Raw genomic sequence first — 16,786 nt, 5'->3', positions numbered from 1 at the left:
ATTGCCTTTTGAAGCATGTGATCTCTGTGACCCACTCCCTATTTGTACACCCCTCCCCTTTTGAAATCCCTAATAAGAACTTGCTGGTTTTGCAGCTCAGGGGGGCATCATGGAACCTGCTAATATATTATGTCACCCCCGGAGGCCTAGCTTTAAAATTTCTCTCTTTTTACTCTTTCTGTTTATTTCTCAGACCAGCCAACACTTAGGGAAAACAGAAAAGAACCTACGTTGAAATATTAGGAGCTCGTTCCCCTGATACAGACACACACACACACACACACACACACACACACACACACACAGAGCAGCTCAGTTGTTTTGAGCAGCAGAAGTGACAGATCTTGGAGAAGAGACACTAAATTAAGGTTCAGCATAACACATACACACACACATCCCAAAACAGACACTAAAGGTCCAGCATAATGCACAAACCAGCATAATGAGATTGTCTTGTAAGAATTTTCTACAGGATTCATCTGGGAGAAAAAAAAATCTGTTTTTTAATTAGAGTTGTCAGATTTGCTCTGCTTTTGCTAACATAGTGTGTTAGCCACCCTGATTACATTTAATGTTACTCTGACTAAGCTGATTAAAAGCTGTGTGTTTTGGCACACATTGGAAAAGGCTAAAGTGTTGTAATAGAAGACAGTAATGAAATAGAGCACAAACTTGTTCCATGTCACAGAATATCATGGTTCCTCCTAACTCATGACTACAATGACATGAATATTCATTTCTCATCGAAATCTGGATTTTTTAAAGACAATGTACAGACACATTTTAAGAGGCATCACTCTTTTATCTTTTTTTATTAGAGAAAAATGTACTTTTCCATGACTGTATTTTCTACATTTTTGGAACTGATGAAGGTTCACAGGCTAAACCTAAAACTAAATTATATTTAATGTTTAACAGATCACAGAAATGAGGTCTGGCACTTAACTAACAGACAAATAATAGATGATATATACTGATTACAGAATTATCAAAACATTGTCATGGTTTAGTGTAGCTCAAGTTATGCTTGTATCATAGAAAGTAGGTTCAAGTTATTTCTTCGGTCATCAGAATAACAGAGGTTGAAGAGACAACTGAATAAGTGCTAACTCTTCCTACAGCTGTTTCAAAAAAAAATTAAGTAATGTGATACACATTTCTGCAAATAAAGTATTCCAGTGCTTACATCAATCCTGAGTTTTTAAGATTAAATATGCACTACTTACAGTTTCTGACACAAAACTTTGTGATAATCCTCTTCAAAGCCCTTGGCAGCCTAAAAGAAAAAGTCTAGTCCACTAGCAAACCACCACTTTACATCTCACGTTTTAAACAGGGTTAATTAAATGTCAAAAGGAAACAGCTTTTAGTATTCAAAGGACGCTTATTTATTTCAAATTGAAAAAAAACTGTAATCATTACATGGAGCTCCAAATACCCACTTAAATTTTTTAATGCCAGATTTCAGTGAAATATTATTTTAGCAGGTCCAACAGTCTAATGTACTTTGCTTGGATAAAATGGGTTGATGAACATCTTAAGGTCAAGATGGAGCAAAGACCAAAAAAGATTGGCAGTCTTATGTCATGAAATATATTTTTTCACTGGGTAGTGACCCATTTAACAACAGACTATGTAACATGGCTTCCATTGAAGGGATAAGATAGTCAGTGATATGGCCTCAAATTAGAAAAAACTTAACTGTGTTTGAAAATACATACTATTTACTCAACAAATAGTTCAACAGTTCCTACTCCCTAAAATGTTGTATGTATTTGACTTAATCTGTGTACACTAAAAGGAATGAATAGAACTGTTTCTCATCCAGTGTCTTCCAATATCCCCCAAAGAATTAAATTTCCACGTGTATGAAAGGAAAGCCATCCCTCTGGCTTCAGCATTATTACAAGCATTCTTACATTCCACATCAACAATTAAAAAGGTAAGAAAAATTTGTCAAACAAATTACATTAAATACTTAATGTTAAATGCTATGTATGAAAAGAAGGCATTTAAAACAGTCTTGTCCTCCACTAATTCATATAACCTACTGTAACAGTTCCAACGAAGTTATAAATACAGATGTTTGACACGAGCATTCGTCTTAGATATCTACCCGAGTTGTCTGAGTTTGAGTTTGGGAAACTTTCTTTATTCCCTACATTTTCAGGGGAAAAGTTAATTTACTTTGACTTTTTAAAAAGCGTGTTTGGTGTTGTTAGGTGTTCAGCTATTTTGGAGGAGGTATGTCATGAAATCTAATTAGGAGAATTCAATGCCTCCACAAAAGGCTCCCAGGTCTTGGCTATACTAGTTTTTGTAAATGCAGCTGGACAGATGCACCCGCGGAGTTTTGTTTTTTTTTTCCGGTGGTTTCTTTTTTTTTGTTTTTGTTTTTGTTTTTGAGACGGAGTCTTGGTCTCTCGCCCAGGCTGGAGTCCAGTGGCTCGATCTCAGCTCACTGCAACCTCTGCCTCCAGGGTTCAAGCGATTTTCCTGCCTCAGCCTCTGGAGTAGCTGGGACTACAGGCATCTGCCGGCACCCGGCTAATTTTTGTGTTTGTATTTGCATTTTTTTAATTTTATTTTTTATTTTTTTTGAGACGGAGTGTCGCTCTGTCGCCCAGGCTGGAGTGCAGTGGCGCCGTCTGGGCTCACTGGAAGCTCCGACTCCCGGGTTCACGCCATTCTCCTGCCTCAGCCTCCCGAGTAGCTGGGACTACAGGCGCCCGCCACCACGCCAGGCTAATTTTTTGTATTTTTAGTAGAGACGGGGTTTCACCATGTTGATCAGGCTGGTCGAACTCCTGACCTCAATTGATCCACCCGCCTCAGCCTCCCAAAGTGTTGGGACGACAGGCTTGAGCCACCGCGCCTGGACATTTCCGGTAGTTTTAATGAGCCATCTGCTGCCTGAAGACAGAGTGGGAGTCTAGTTTCCCATCCCCCATCGCTGTCCATCTCTTCTCACCCTGAGCCTCTGAAGTATTCTCAGTGACTGTCAATCAGGTGTGCTGCTAAGAGGCATAGTCTTCAAAAAGAACGCTTGATCCCCTGCCTGACTACATACACAAACCAAGTTACATGAGGGGACTTGTTGGCATTGGCTTTCTTACCTCCTCATAGAAGTCGCATTAGAAGTAAAAGTGGGTGGGTCTTGTCAGCCCTTTAGTAACAAAACTGTGTACCTTATCACTAGTAACGAAAACACTAAGTATCTCTACCACTGGGATACCTTTGCATAGTTATGCCTTATTGCACGGTTGTGCCTCACTGGAGTCTGGCATTCAGGGCAGATGGTTAAGAGAGTCACACTTCACAGAACCACTTATAGTTCAAGGTGGTTGAGCAACTTGATGACTGTATTTGATGATTCTTATAAGTTCTATTTCTCTAAGCCCATATGATGACCATGGGGTAGCAAATGCACGTGTGGCATGATTGTATAGGCTAATATGAATGCCCTCCAGACACAAGGGTATACATTCATGGTCATGGGTGTTGGACAGCCAACGAGCAGAGGGCGTCTCCTATGGGCCCTCCTAGGGCTCAGAGTAGACACATGCCAGTTAATTCATCATTTAGTTTCCAAGTGTTTCTGACCCTCCAGGAAACTGGAAACTGTGTCACTGTTGGAAACGGTGAATAAATTGTTTCAAGTATTACAATTTGACTGAGGCTCCTTTTAAAAACTCAGTTAAGTATGTGTGCTTTTAATACATGGGTTGGTGGTGAGGGATGTCGATGTTCTTCTGGAAAGAAAGTCTTCTTAAGAATTTTGGGGGGGATTTTTTTTTTTTTTTTTGAGATGGAGTCCACTCTGGGTGCACACGTGCATGGATTCTTTTGTATTTTGCACTGTGTGTTCTCCTCCACCATGTTTTGTGACATTAAATCCCTTCCCTATCCGGGCTTTTTGGGTTTGGTTTTTCCATCACAAGTGCACAAACTGCAGCCTATGACCCAAATCCTGCCAGTATTCTAGAATCCACAAGCTAAGAATGATTTTACATCTTACTTTTGTTCTTTGTTTTTGTTTGTTTTTTTTTTTGTTTGTTTGTTTTTGTTTTTGTTTTTTTAAAGATAGGGTCTCATTCTGTTGTCCAGGCTGGGATTGTATTTTCACTTCAGCCTCGACCTCCTGGGCTGAGACTACAAGTGCACACCACCAAACGTGGCTAATTTTTTAAGTTTTTGTAAAGATAAGATATCACTGTGTTGCTAGGCTAGTCTCCAACTCCTGGGCTCAGGAGATCTTCCCACCTCGGCATCTTAAAGTGCTGGGATTACAGGTCTGAACCACCTTACCCAGCCTTAAAGTGTTTTTAGAAATCAAAATTTAAAAAAAAAGTTTTTCCTGTCATGTGAATATACATGAAACTTAAATGTTAGTGTCCACACATAAACATTGATGGGAAATGCAGCTATGTTGTGCACTGCAGCCTAGGTGACATGGTAAAACCTGGACTCTAATAGCTTGCACCCTGTGGTCATTCTCCCTGCTTCTGCTTTTCTCATTTGTGTGCATAGGTGCCTGTGCACACAAGCATGCATACAAAGCTTTCAGCATATCTTCTTCCATGTAAGTCTGCATGCAGAATTTTTGGTGTATTCCCAACACCCGTATTGGTGCACTTTTAAATTTTTGTTCTTCAAGCTTCCTCTGAATGATCAGGTGAGCTTAACATTCTAAGAATGAGTGTAGGATAATGTGGAAGAAGCCAAAGGGGGCCTTGGGAAGAGCTCCTTCTCCAGCTCTCCTTCCTATGCTTTCACACTTCTCTTTCCTCGTGCACACAGAGGGAGATGTGGCCACTGAAACTGTCCCAAACAACAGATACAGGGGGATGTAACCGCTGGAACTGTCTCAGGCATTTCCTCAAATTTACATTCCTATCTGTGCAACCCTTAGTTGCAAAGCCAAGGTCTTTCCAGGGATATGTACTGTAACTTGCGGTGCAAAACTGGTAAACAGAAATGAACAGTGTCTTTATCTGTGATTTTATAACAGGGATCAGCACAGGGCAGCCCTCAGGACAAATCTGGGCCGCATCTGTTTTTGTAAATAAAGTCTTATTGGATTACAGACACATCCATTTCTTTATGTACTGCCTGTGGCTGCTTTTGCACTACATTAGAGTCGAGTGGTAGTTGCAACGGAGACCACAGTGTGGCCCATGATGCTAAAAATATTTACTATATGTTCCTTTACAAAAAAAGTTTGCTGACCCATGGTGTATGTTGTAAATAAAGTTCAAGTGCCGCAAAAGAAATAGCACTTGAATATAAAATTTTCTTTTTAATTCTCAGCAAGGCAAGGTACTTCTATAGAAGAATGGGCCCTTACAGATGGAGCAGTGGTGAGCACACACCTGGACAAGGGAGGGCAAGGGGTTCTTATCCCTGATGCCCGTGGCCCCTGCTGCTGTGTTGTTCCCCTATTAGCTAGGGTTAGACCACACAGACTAAACTAATCCTCATTGGCTAATTTCAAGACAGTGATGGGGTGAGTGGTTTGGTGGGAAAAAATGGTTATAACAGAGCAGGTAATTGGATTGAGTCAGGGTGGAGCAGGTAATCGGAATGAGTCAGGGTGGAGCAGGTAATTGGAATGAGTCAGGGTGGAGCAGGTGATTGAAATGAGTCAGAGTGGAACAGCTAATCGACAAAGGTGGCTTTATGAGGAAGTTAAGTTTAAAAATAGAAGACAAAGAATTGAACCTACTGACATACTGATTCCTTGAAAAGAAATTTAGAACTTGTATCTAACAATCCCTCCTTTTGCATTTCCTTACAGCTCTTTCATTTCAAACTTTTTAATATGTCTTGGCTTAGTTGTTTTGCTTGGTTTTCCAAAAGAAGCAGCTTCTCTGGATAAGGCAGAGGATAGTTAGGGGAGGTTTTAGTAAGTGTTGAGCCTCTGCACCAATCCATGGATGCATGATATGACACGGCACCCGACAAGAATAAGTATACCCATTACGGTTGTGAGGGAAGTAAGAATTAAGGATATTACCTTTTTCCATGTACCGAATCACTATTGTAGTCATTCTGTAAAGGGGTCAATTACCCCTGAGTTTTTGGCAAACACATTGGACAGAGCAGTTAGACCTTGCAATGCCTTTGTTATACTTCCATGAGGGACCATGTTGTTTGGGATGAAGGTGCAACACTGAGTTTTAATCATGATGAAAACTCCTCCTCTTTCTGCTAATGTCATGTCTAAGGCTATCCTATTTTCCCAAGCCATCTGGCTATTACCCCTTAATTGCTCAGTTATTCCCTTAACAGCATCTCTAGTGTAGTTAATAAATCGCTGTTGGTTTGTAGTAGATGTAGTCTATCCAATCTATATTTTTATTAATTGTCGCTTAGCAAAATATTGACTCAAATCCTGCAGCTATTTGATTTCAGGCTTTAAATTGACTGGTATTCCCCATGGGACCCTAATTGTGTCTAAATAGATATGAGAGTCGAAGGACCCATAAGGGGCTTCTCTCACTTTACAGTGTCTTATTCTTTCCTTCCTCTTGTTGATGAAATGCCAGGGTGAAAGGGATAGCCAACTGGACTAAAGCACAAGTGCCAATCTAGTTATTTGGCAGAGTGTCCAGTAAAAATCCACTACAATACCACCAAACATCTGCTCAGGGACGAACAAGGGCTGACTGATTGATAAGCTCTTGAAAATTCTTAAGCTCACTGCATTCCTTCAGGTCTCCAAGTAACACAAAGTTTCCTCCCTGTCTGAGAGACACGAAATGAACTTAGTGTTGGGAGACGGAGGCTTGTTGGCCCTTGGGGGCTGACCTGCAGGGTGCCAGACTTCAGGATACAGTGAGAGAGAGCTTGGCATGACTTATTACTCCAGGCTGTAGAATCCAGGAAAAGAGCTACCATACAGCCCACACCCAGTCAACTGGAGGACCACCCTAGGGGAAAGGGGACAATCTGGGCCTCTGGCCTGCCATTCACCCAAGCATAACAATTGCTGTTGTTTAACATGCAGAAGGAATATTGGATCCATCCCAACTAGGCATTTGCATCTTGGTATCCTGTCTTAATTGCCAAAGTTTAAGTCTGTAAATTTTATGATAGCTATCTTGGTCTTGTCATTAGATGGAGGAGGAGCAATTTTTCTATCACGAGGGGTTTTGAAAGAAGGCTTAGAGAAAGGTTCAGGTGGTGGGGGATCAAAGTAACATATTTCAAAGAATCTAACGAGGTCTGCCCTTGGAATCTCAGCCCCCATACCATAAAACCAGCTTAAAGAAGGGAACCGGCTTAGGAATGGGGAAGAACTTTGAGGGTTTGAGATAATAACCTGTATAGAATTACACTGGTTTAGCTGACGGTTAGGGAGGGCTGTTCCTCTAGTAAAATGAATGTATGGTTTTAGGAAATTACAAAAACTGGTTGGGGCAGTCCATTCTTGCTCTTTAATGGTCCACAGATCATTGGACCAACTATGGCATAAAAGCTCTACATGGGGGAGCAAGACTCCTGGCTGACACTGAGGCCTTTACTGAAATCTCTCTGGATTAAATGGTCCCAATACACTAATGCTCGGTCTGAGGAGAGTCAGGAGGGACAGAGATACCTTTCTGAAGTAGAGAGCTGTCTCTGACTTGGCAAGTCCCCAAGGGTATAACAAGGCAAGCATTAAATGCAATAGTTTGAGGCAAAATTGACTAGGTTATGTTAATAACTAGGTCAGCAATAGAGCAAAGAAGAAAGAGAAATAGAATAGATGAAAGAGTTAAATTTTTCTTAGCTTTAGTTTGGTAGGGTTTTCCCCTGGGACTACACCCCACGACTCTGGAGGGGGTGGCGCTTTCTTGACTCGGGTGTGATGAATCCATCCCCTTCCACTGTATGAACAGGAGTCTCCGTGGTTAGCAGCACAAAGTAGATTCCTTCCCAGGCTGGCTGGGGTTTTCCTTCTTTCCACCCTTTGATGAGAATGTGATCCTCAGGCTGGTGCTGGTTTACCAGAAATTCTAGGAGTGGTACCTGTGCTAAAAGACTTTAGTTTTCAGGAAAAGGAAAGTGGAAGATAAACTAAGTATGTAATTTCTAAGAAATTGACCTTTTGTTTTAAATGTGGGGACGTCAGCAGTGGGCTTTATAGTCCTTGGTGCCTTCTTACTGAGAAATTTCCTTTAGCACCTATTTTTATCCTACCCCTTTACCTTTCAGTTCTCTTTTCCTCTGTGCCATTTTGTTTCTCTCCTACCTTAAGCATTTCACAGCTAACGGTTGTTACCTTGGTAATGTTAAATACGAATTCTGAATTCTAAATTTATCTTCAAAGAATATGTCAATGTGTTTAATTCTTTGCCTTCTACTTTTGAACTTAACTTCCATGTAATGCAACCTTTTCCAATTACCTGCTCCACCCTGACTCATTCTCCACCCTAACTCATTCTCCATCCTGACTCATTCTGATTACCTGCTCCACCCTGACTAATTTCATAGACATTTTTCCCGCCAAACCACTCATCCCATCATTCTCTTTAAATTAGTCAATCAGAACTAGTTTAACCTGTGCGGTCTAACCCTAGCCAAGAGGGAAACGACACGGCAGGAGGCTATGGGCCTCAGGGATAAGAACCCCTTCCCCTCCCTTTTCCAGGTGTGCGCTCACCATTGCTCCATCTGTAAGGGTGCACCCTTCTATAGAAGTACCTTGCCTTGCTGAGAATTAAAAAGAAAATCTTATATTTGAGTGCTATTTCTTTTGCAGCACCGAAACTTTATAATAATAACATGATTGTGAGGCCCTCCAGCATGTTCTGTGATGACCAGTGACTCCTATGAGCCATCAGTAGAAATCATTGTCCTCTTCCCTGACAAGAATCTCTGAAACTATTGTTATCCATAACCATGAGAATACATTTTCTCTGAAATACATAGCTGATATATTTTGGGTTGTTCAAGCCCAGTGACTGTATCTTATTTGTGTTATTGCCCAAAGCCATGTAGTAACCCCTCAAAACCAAACTACTTAATGGAGTGCCTTTGTTTTTTCACTGAGACCCAGTGGAGGGAATCCACCATCCCAGAGTGTCATTTCCTTTTCCACCTTTTCCCAGCAGGAACCTTTAAAAGCTCTCTCCATTGGAACACCTTAGAGGACATCCCATTTCTGAGACAGAAACATAGCTGATCTCCCTTACTATCCTGCAATTAACTGCTTGTTCCAGACATGACAAATGACTCTCATTTCCTTTGAGCAGTCAGAAGCAGATTTACGCATTTCCCTTTCTGTTTTCATCCTCTTATCTTGGCTTCCAGGTAAGTGGCCAAAGCTTTGTTTTTGAGAAGAATGATTTGGTTTTCCTCTCTCAGGTGTAAGCTGGGCCTGGACCACTCCATCCCCCACTGTGTTACCAGGTACCTGCCCCTGCTGCTGGTCCTCATGGTCAACCCCATCCTGTTCAGAAAGACAGTGATTGCAAGTAAATAGTAGGGAGGCTCTCTGGGTACACAGCCACTGGGAGTGGCTATGCCTTGGGCTCAGACAGTGACATGTCCTCCTGGAATTATCTGAAACCATTGACTTCATTCATCGTCCTTCAGAGACATCAACAGAATGCAGCTGCAGAAAGCAAGCAGGTTCAATAAATAAAATGTAAATGTGCAGCCCTCTGCCAGCACAAGTTCTGTGCCATTGCTTGTTAGCTCAGCACCAGGACTAAGTGACTTTTCATTTCAGTGCTGGGACCCTCCTGGGTTTGCTGCAGGACTGCCATTGGAGCTCCGTGGAGGTGTGTGAGGAACAGGAGAGGAGAGAAAAGAGGGAAGTCCAAAACTGAGTGAGGACTGAAGAGGCTCTAGTCCATAATGCATTTAGCTGATGTCTTTTCTCAGGAAAGAAAACAGGAAGCAGAGCATAGCAAATGAGTCAAGGGCAATGGTTAGAAAAGGTTAAGAGGAATGGAGTCCTTAACAACATGCTTGGAAAAGCCTCCTGGGCTGTGGCTGGGGAAGTGCAGTCCAGCCCCTACTTCTTCCTCTAGGAAATGAGTCCTGGAGTGAGCCGCCCACCTCCTCATGTTAGCAGTGGTGAATCCACATAGGTCTGAAAGATCCTCACTTCTTGCCTCCTTAAAAGAAAGAATTCCACTGAGAGGCATAAGGGAGAGTGACAGACTGAGCCATGTTTCAGAGCAAGAGGGAAAGTTTATTAAAAAGCTTTAGAAGAGGAATGAAAGGGAGTTAAGTACACTTGGAAGAGGGCCAAGCAGGCAACTTGAGAGAGTCAAGTGCACTGTTTAGACCTTGATGTCGGATCTTATATGTTGCCACGGTTTCTGGGGTCTTGCATCCCTTCTTCCATGATTATTCTCTTGGGGCAGGCTGTCTGCATGCAATAGTGGCCTGCTACCATTTGGGAGAGGCCACATGTGCAGTGTTTCCTGGAGTTTTGTGCATGCTCACCAGCTCAGTGTTCCTAGAGGAAGGTCATATGCCAGAAAGATTCTTCCATCTTGCCTCACATTGTGCATACTTGAGCCCACTTTCCCAACCCCTGAGATTTTATGGGGAAGCTGCTGATCGACAGTTTCCGGTGTTTCTATCTATTTGGAGACTGCCTTCTGCTGGTAGCAGCTGAAACCAATAATTATGTTAGAGAGACAGTTTACCAACCACCTGAGAATAACTTGATGGTCGCCTCACATTCCTGGGGACAGAGACCTTTTCCTGTCATACTCATATGTGTCTGAAAACCTACTGTAACAATCAAGAGATGCGAAAAATCTCTCAGTGGTATTGGAATTAGAAGAAGAAAGCTTGCTTTAACTAAGAGGTCCTTTGAATATCATCTGTTGACTGTAGAACTTTTTTTTCCTTTTTCCTTTCAAAACAGCATCTCACTCTGTTGCCCAGGCTGGAATGCAGTGGGACAATCATAGCTCGTGGCAGCCTCCACCTCCTGGGCCCAGTTCATGCTCCCACCTCAGCCTCCCAAGTAGCTGAGATTATAGGCATGTACCACCACACCTGGCTAATTTTTGTATATACTTTTTTTGTAGACATAGGCTCTTGCCATGTGTCTTAGGCTAGTTTCAAACTCGTGGGTTCAAGCGAGCCTTCCACCTTGACCTCCCAAAGTGCTGGGATTACAGGCTTGAGTCACTGTGCCAGGCCTGATTGTACAAGTTTTTAAAAACATTGTTTTATCCAGGCGCTGTGGCTCATGCCTGTAATCCCAGCACTTCTGGGAGGCCAAAGTGGGTGGATCACATGAGGCTAGGAGTTTGAGACCAGCCTGGACAACATGGTACAACTCTGTCTCTACTAAAAACACAAAAGTTAGCCAGGCCTGGAGGTGCATGTTTGTAATCTCAGCTACTTGGGAGGCTGACTCACAACAATCACTTGAACCCTAGAGGCAGAAGTTGCAGTGAGTAAAGAAGCCAAGACTAAGCCTGGGGAACAGAGTGAGACCACGTGAAACAACAACAACAACAAAAACAATTGTTTAAAGTTCCCTATCACTAGACATAAAAAATTACTGTGTTTCTTTGGACTAACCTCCTTGTACATACATTTAAATATAGTATACTAAATACAGCTTTTTTTAAAAAAACAAAATCTCAGTTATTCAAACTCATCAAATAAAATGAAATGACTTATATATGGTAAGATGTTAACAGTGGTTGTCTCTGGGTGGAGGGACCATGAGTCATTCATACTTCTCTAAAGTTTTTTATATTTCCTGACTTTTCTATAAGGCAAAATTATTTTCCACATTTTAACAAGTATGAATTATTTTTATAATAGAGAAAATGAAACTTTAACAATATAATTTCTGGACTAGAAAATTCAAATAATAAATACTTCTAAAAAATAATAAAAAGAGCCACCATATGACACCCCAGCCCAGAGTCTGTTTGAAAAGAACCGCAGAAATCACACACAAGTTTGCTTGAATCCATGACATCCTCATAAACAGTGGGTGACCTGGTGAGAATCAAGTCTTTTTTGTTTTTTTTTTTTTTGAGACAGAGTCTGGCCCTGTCGCCCAGGCTGGAATGCAGTGGCGCGATCTGGGCTCAGTGCAAGCTCCGCCTCCCGGATTCACGCCATTCTCCCGCCTCAGCCTAGTGAGTAGCTGGGACTACAGGCGCCTGCCACCACGCCCGGCTAATTTTTTGTATTTTTAGTAGAGAAGGGATTTCACTGTGTTAGCCAGCATGGTCTCAATCTCCTGACCTCGTGATCCGCCCGCCTCAGCCTCCCAAAGTGCTGGGATTACAGGCGTGAACATAATGTGCCCGGCCAGAATCAAATCTTTTTGATGTGCCACCAGCCCCCTCTAGCAGGAATGCTGCTCCAGAACTGCAAGGCTTCTTTAGAAGTTTTCCCAGCTGGTGTCTTGGCTCCAGGAAAGGCAGGTTTACCACCCTAGCAAAACCAGCTCTCCACCATCCTTGTCAGCCACCCAGGCTCTCCTCAAAATCTGGCTGTGTCATCCATGGCCAGTCCTCCCCCATTGCTCAATCTCTTTACCCACTGTTTGAGCAGCTCATCACACTTTCTCTGAGTTAACTCAGACCAAGATTCCTCCAGATTCACCTTAATCCAACCCTGGGAGGAAGATCTGAGTGCCATGTTCTCCCACAGCCCATAGTGCATGCGTATGTTTCAGAGACACAACAGTATTGCAGTTGCCTTTTTTTTGAGGTAGGATCTCACTGTTGCCTAGGCTGGAGTGAAGTGGTGTGATTATGGTTCATTGCAGCCTTGAACTCCTAGGTTCAAGCAATCCTTTCACTTCAGCTTGCCAAGTTACTGGGACCACAGGTGTACACTGCTACAACTGGCTTGTTTTAAAATTTTTATCATAGAGATGGGGTCTTTCTGTATTTCCCAGGCTGGTCCTGCATTTCTGGCCTCAAGCGATCTTCCTGTTTCAGCCTCCTAAAGCACTAGTTAGAGGTGTGAACCACACTTGCCTTCTTGGTAAAAGGCAATATTGTTATTGCCTTAAAGTGGCAGGACCAAGCCTGGCTCAGGCTTTCTTAGTTCTTTACAACCACATCTCTCATAGTGCCACAACTTCTGACTGCCTCTTTTCCATATAACTCTCATGTTCTTTTTTTCCCCTAAAATATTCTCCCAAACTCTGCATGTATCTCTTTTAAAATTGAGCTTGTTACTACCCTTCTTTGTACTCATATCTTAATGAGTGCTCCAAAGTAGTAGTGCTGCATCCCATTGCTGTCAGGCACTTAACATGACTGTACTGACCCATTCCCCATGTTGATTGAGCACCCTCTATATACCAGGTGTTATCTGGGGCATCGGGTACAGTCACTATGACACATTCCCTGTCCACTGAGACTCTCCACTGTAGTGGCAGAGACAGAGAATGAAAAACACAAATAATGATATGATATTCCATCCAGGTAATGGGAAGTGCTGTGAAGAAAAATCAGGGACGGTTGGGAGCATGATTTTAGAGAGGTTGTCCCAGAGTCTCCCTGAGCATGAGGTAACATTAGCATTGAGACCCGAATCAAGTGTAGGAACCACAAGAAAATCAGAAGAGCCTTACAGACAGAAAAATAGAGTTGCAGAGGCCCAGTGGCAGGACCAAGCCTGGAGTGGGAGGGAGAGAAGCAGTATGCCTAAGGGTGTGAGGAAACAGAGAGGGACTCATAGGAGGTTGTGATTGTCAGCAAGCCCCAAGGGTGGAGGGCTTTGGAGGCTCTTTGGAGGCTTTTTGGGGTCATTTGCCCTGTCTGTGGTTGGAAAGGCAACCCTCCTTCATGTTTTCCACCTCTGTATTCCCCACACACAGCTTGCAACCTGGGATGGAGCAAGTATTCTAGTATATTTGGGGATCGGAAGAATAATTCTGACAGTGGTTTCAAAGGGTCTAACAGAAAGAAGGTGTATTGCTGGAATGATGACCAGTGCCCAAGATTATTCTTTTGATGGGATTCACATTAGCTCTCACACTGCTGACTGATGCTCACATTTTTTTCCTTTTGTTCTGTATCCTTTTAAACCATGTCATATTCTGGAAGAACAACATGGGGAAATTGATTAATAAATGAAACAGGAACTAAAGGAAAATGATAATGAAATAGAAAGCCAGCTAGAATTAGCCCCAGATAACTATTTAAAATGGATGGTAGTTTGGCTTTGAGCTTCTTAGCAGGGGAGTAAAGAGAAAAATGTGAGCAATTATTAGACTCTTAATTATTTTCTAGAAAATACTGCATGCGAGAGCAAAACCATCCTGAAATCCACACCTGATAAAAATGTCTCATGAAGGAAATGCTGAGCACATTGGGACAAATACATTCCTGTATTTACAAAAACATTATTTGTCACTTTATCATCTTATGTAGGGTCATGATCGGAATGAGCTCAATTTCACAAAGGGTTACCAGGCATGTAGTACTGTGTATTTAAATGAGGCTGGATGTGTATCCAATTTGGGACTTGAGATGACAGTTTTCCATGAGTAGATGCTGATGGGGAGGAGCTGCTTGCTATAAACATGTGTCATTGCCCATGAAAACACATTGGGAGGTGGTGTAGTTTTTCACAGTTGTGGTCTCCCTCCCTTCCAGCACTTCCTGGAGTTGAGTGTAGGTAGCCAGCCAACCATAGGGTCCCTGTTGCCTGAGTTACCATCCCTAGTAGAAGCTGTACCAGCTGTCACAATAGCGCTCTCTGCTCCTAAATTAGAGAGCACACGTCCTGGGTCTCTAAAACTTTCCTAAACCAACAGTTTTTTTGCCTGCACATCTGTGCCATGATCAGCCATTAACTGGCCTAGAAAATTCTGTAGGACTTGTTTCATCTATTGTAATGATTTAATAAAATGTAGATGGAAAGATGGTGTAGGTTTTTTTTTTCTCATAGATGAAATGAATGCTGCAATTTTGACCAAAGTTGCCACATGAAAAACTCAGTGCAGTGAGTACTGAGAGCATTTTCCGAAGCTGAGGACAAACTGGCAAAGAGATGGACACTCACAATTTTTGTTTTTTCCTCTTCAGGTTCTGATGCCAGCACATTTGAAATCCATACTGCAAGTGAATCCTGCAACAAAAATAAGGGTGACCCTGCTTGCCAAACCCACAGAAACCTGTGAAGTGGATGTGCCAAGGGTCCAACCCCCATATTCCTCAGACTCTTCTATTGTCATTCTTTAGAACTTTGTTCTCATTTTTTCATCACTGCACTGCCAAAGTGTAGCAGCCCCCAGACATTGCCCTCATCACCAGTTACATGATCTTCTCGAAGAGCTTCTAGGATAAGAGAAATGTTTCATGCACATGCATGTGGTAATGGAAGAGCCCCCTCCGGACCACTCTGCTGCTTCTCTAGCCTATTAGTTGTCACTAGGAAGTTTTCTGAGGCTGGCTATAAAGCTGAGTGCAAGATCCATGTCCTTGGGAAAGTAGTTAAATAAAGTAATTGTGACTGAGCTCTCAGCCTCACTTGAATGCTGTCTTAACAACTGTTGTAGCCAAAGAAAATATATGCATAGCTTAATACTAAGGATGAGTTTTGAGAAGTGTGTCATTATGTGATATATAATGTTGTATGATACCACACAGTGTACTTACACAAACCTAGATGGCACAGTCTACAGCACAACTAGGCTAGATGGTAGTGCCTATTTCTCCTAGGCTGCAAACCTGACTGTACTGAATACTGAAACATGTGACTGTACCGAATACTGTCAGCAACTGTAACACAATGGTATTTGTATATCAAAACATAGAAAAAGTGCAGTAAACATGTGTTTTCTAGAGCAGATGCCCTCGACTAAGCTTACTGATGTCGCCAAACAGCAGCAAGGTAGAGAAGCAGCAAGATAAATAGGGAACCAGGGCCCCAGTGGAGCAACAGCAAAGCCTGGGCTGCTAACACCCACTAGAGGGCAAAGAAGGGAGAGTGGCTTTCTTTTTTTTGAGACAAGATATTGCTTCATTGCCCAGGCTGGAGTACAGTGGTGAGATCTTGGCTCACTGCAGCTTCTGCTTCCCAGTTTCAAGCTATTCACCTGCCTCAACCTCCCGAGTAGCTGGGACTACAGGCATACACCACTATGTCTGGCTACTTTTTGTATGTTTTGTACAAATGAGTTTTTGCCATGTTGGTCAGGCTGGTCTCAAACTCCTGATCTCAGGTGATCTGCCCACCTTGACCTCCCAAAGTGCTGCGATTACATGCATGAGCCACCTTGCTCAGCTGGGAGTGTATCTTTCATCATGAATTTAGCCTTTTGGTCCCAATGCTGTCCTGAATAACAACATAGTCTAACTGGAACCTGATTAATGCCCAGAAAATTGCCTGTGTTCTCATCTTTCCATCAGTTAAGGAAAGGAACTTCAAAAAGTCCATTAAAAAAATAGAATAAAAATGGAAATAAAAAATAGAAACTTCATTTCTCAACGTTGATAAGCTCATCAAGTTCAACACATTATGTAAACGACAGCAGCCATTTAATCCAACCCTAAAGAACTGAAGGTCCTCAGCACTTAACCATGTCAATGCAGTCTTTTCTACACTAACAACTGAAAAAAAAATACAAAAAAGATGCCCCTTAAAGATTAAGAAACAAGAGAAGTCAGAAGGAACCACATCAGGACTGTACGGTGGATGCCCAATGATTTCCCATGGAAACTTTTGCAAGACTGCCCTTGTTTGATGAGATTAATGAGCAGGAACCTTGTTGTGCTGGAAAAGGACACCCTGGTGAAACTTCTGGGCATTTTTCTGCTAAAGCTTTGACGTTCTCAAAACCATT

General features: G+C 42.4%; 1 pseudogene, besides 1 other annotated feature; it reads left to right on the top strand.

The window, feature by feature from the left end:
- Window positions 7,418-8,617: an enhancer, noted in NCBI's record as "MED14-independent group 3 enhancer chrY:6975278-6976477 (GRCh37/hg19 assembly coordinates)". NCBI's record gives its function as "activates an origin of replication core promoter dependent on BRD2, BRD4, P300/CBP and CDK7 cofactors, and independent of MED14, by STARR-seq in HCT116 cells {active_cell/tissue: HCT116}" and the evidence as "EXISTENCE:reporter gene assay evidence [ECO:0000049][PMID:35650434]".
- Window positions 9,349-15,456, top strand: GPR143YP (G protein-coupled receptor 143 Y-linked pseudogene; annotated as a pseudogene).

This window comes from Homo sapiens, chromosome Y (assembly GCF_000001405.40).
Source record: "Homo sapiens chromosome Y, GRCh38.p14 Primary Assembly".
NCBI classification, from domain to species: domain Eukaryota; kingdom Metazoa; phylum Chordata; class Mammalia; order Primates; family Hominidae; genus Homo; species Homo sapiens.
The sequence above is the reverse complement of the archived record's forward strand: the minus strand, read 5'-3'. Positions and strand labels throughout refer to the sequence as shown.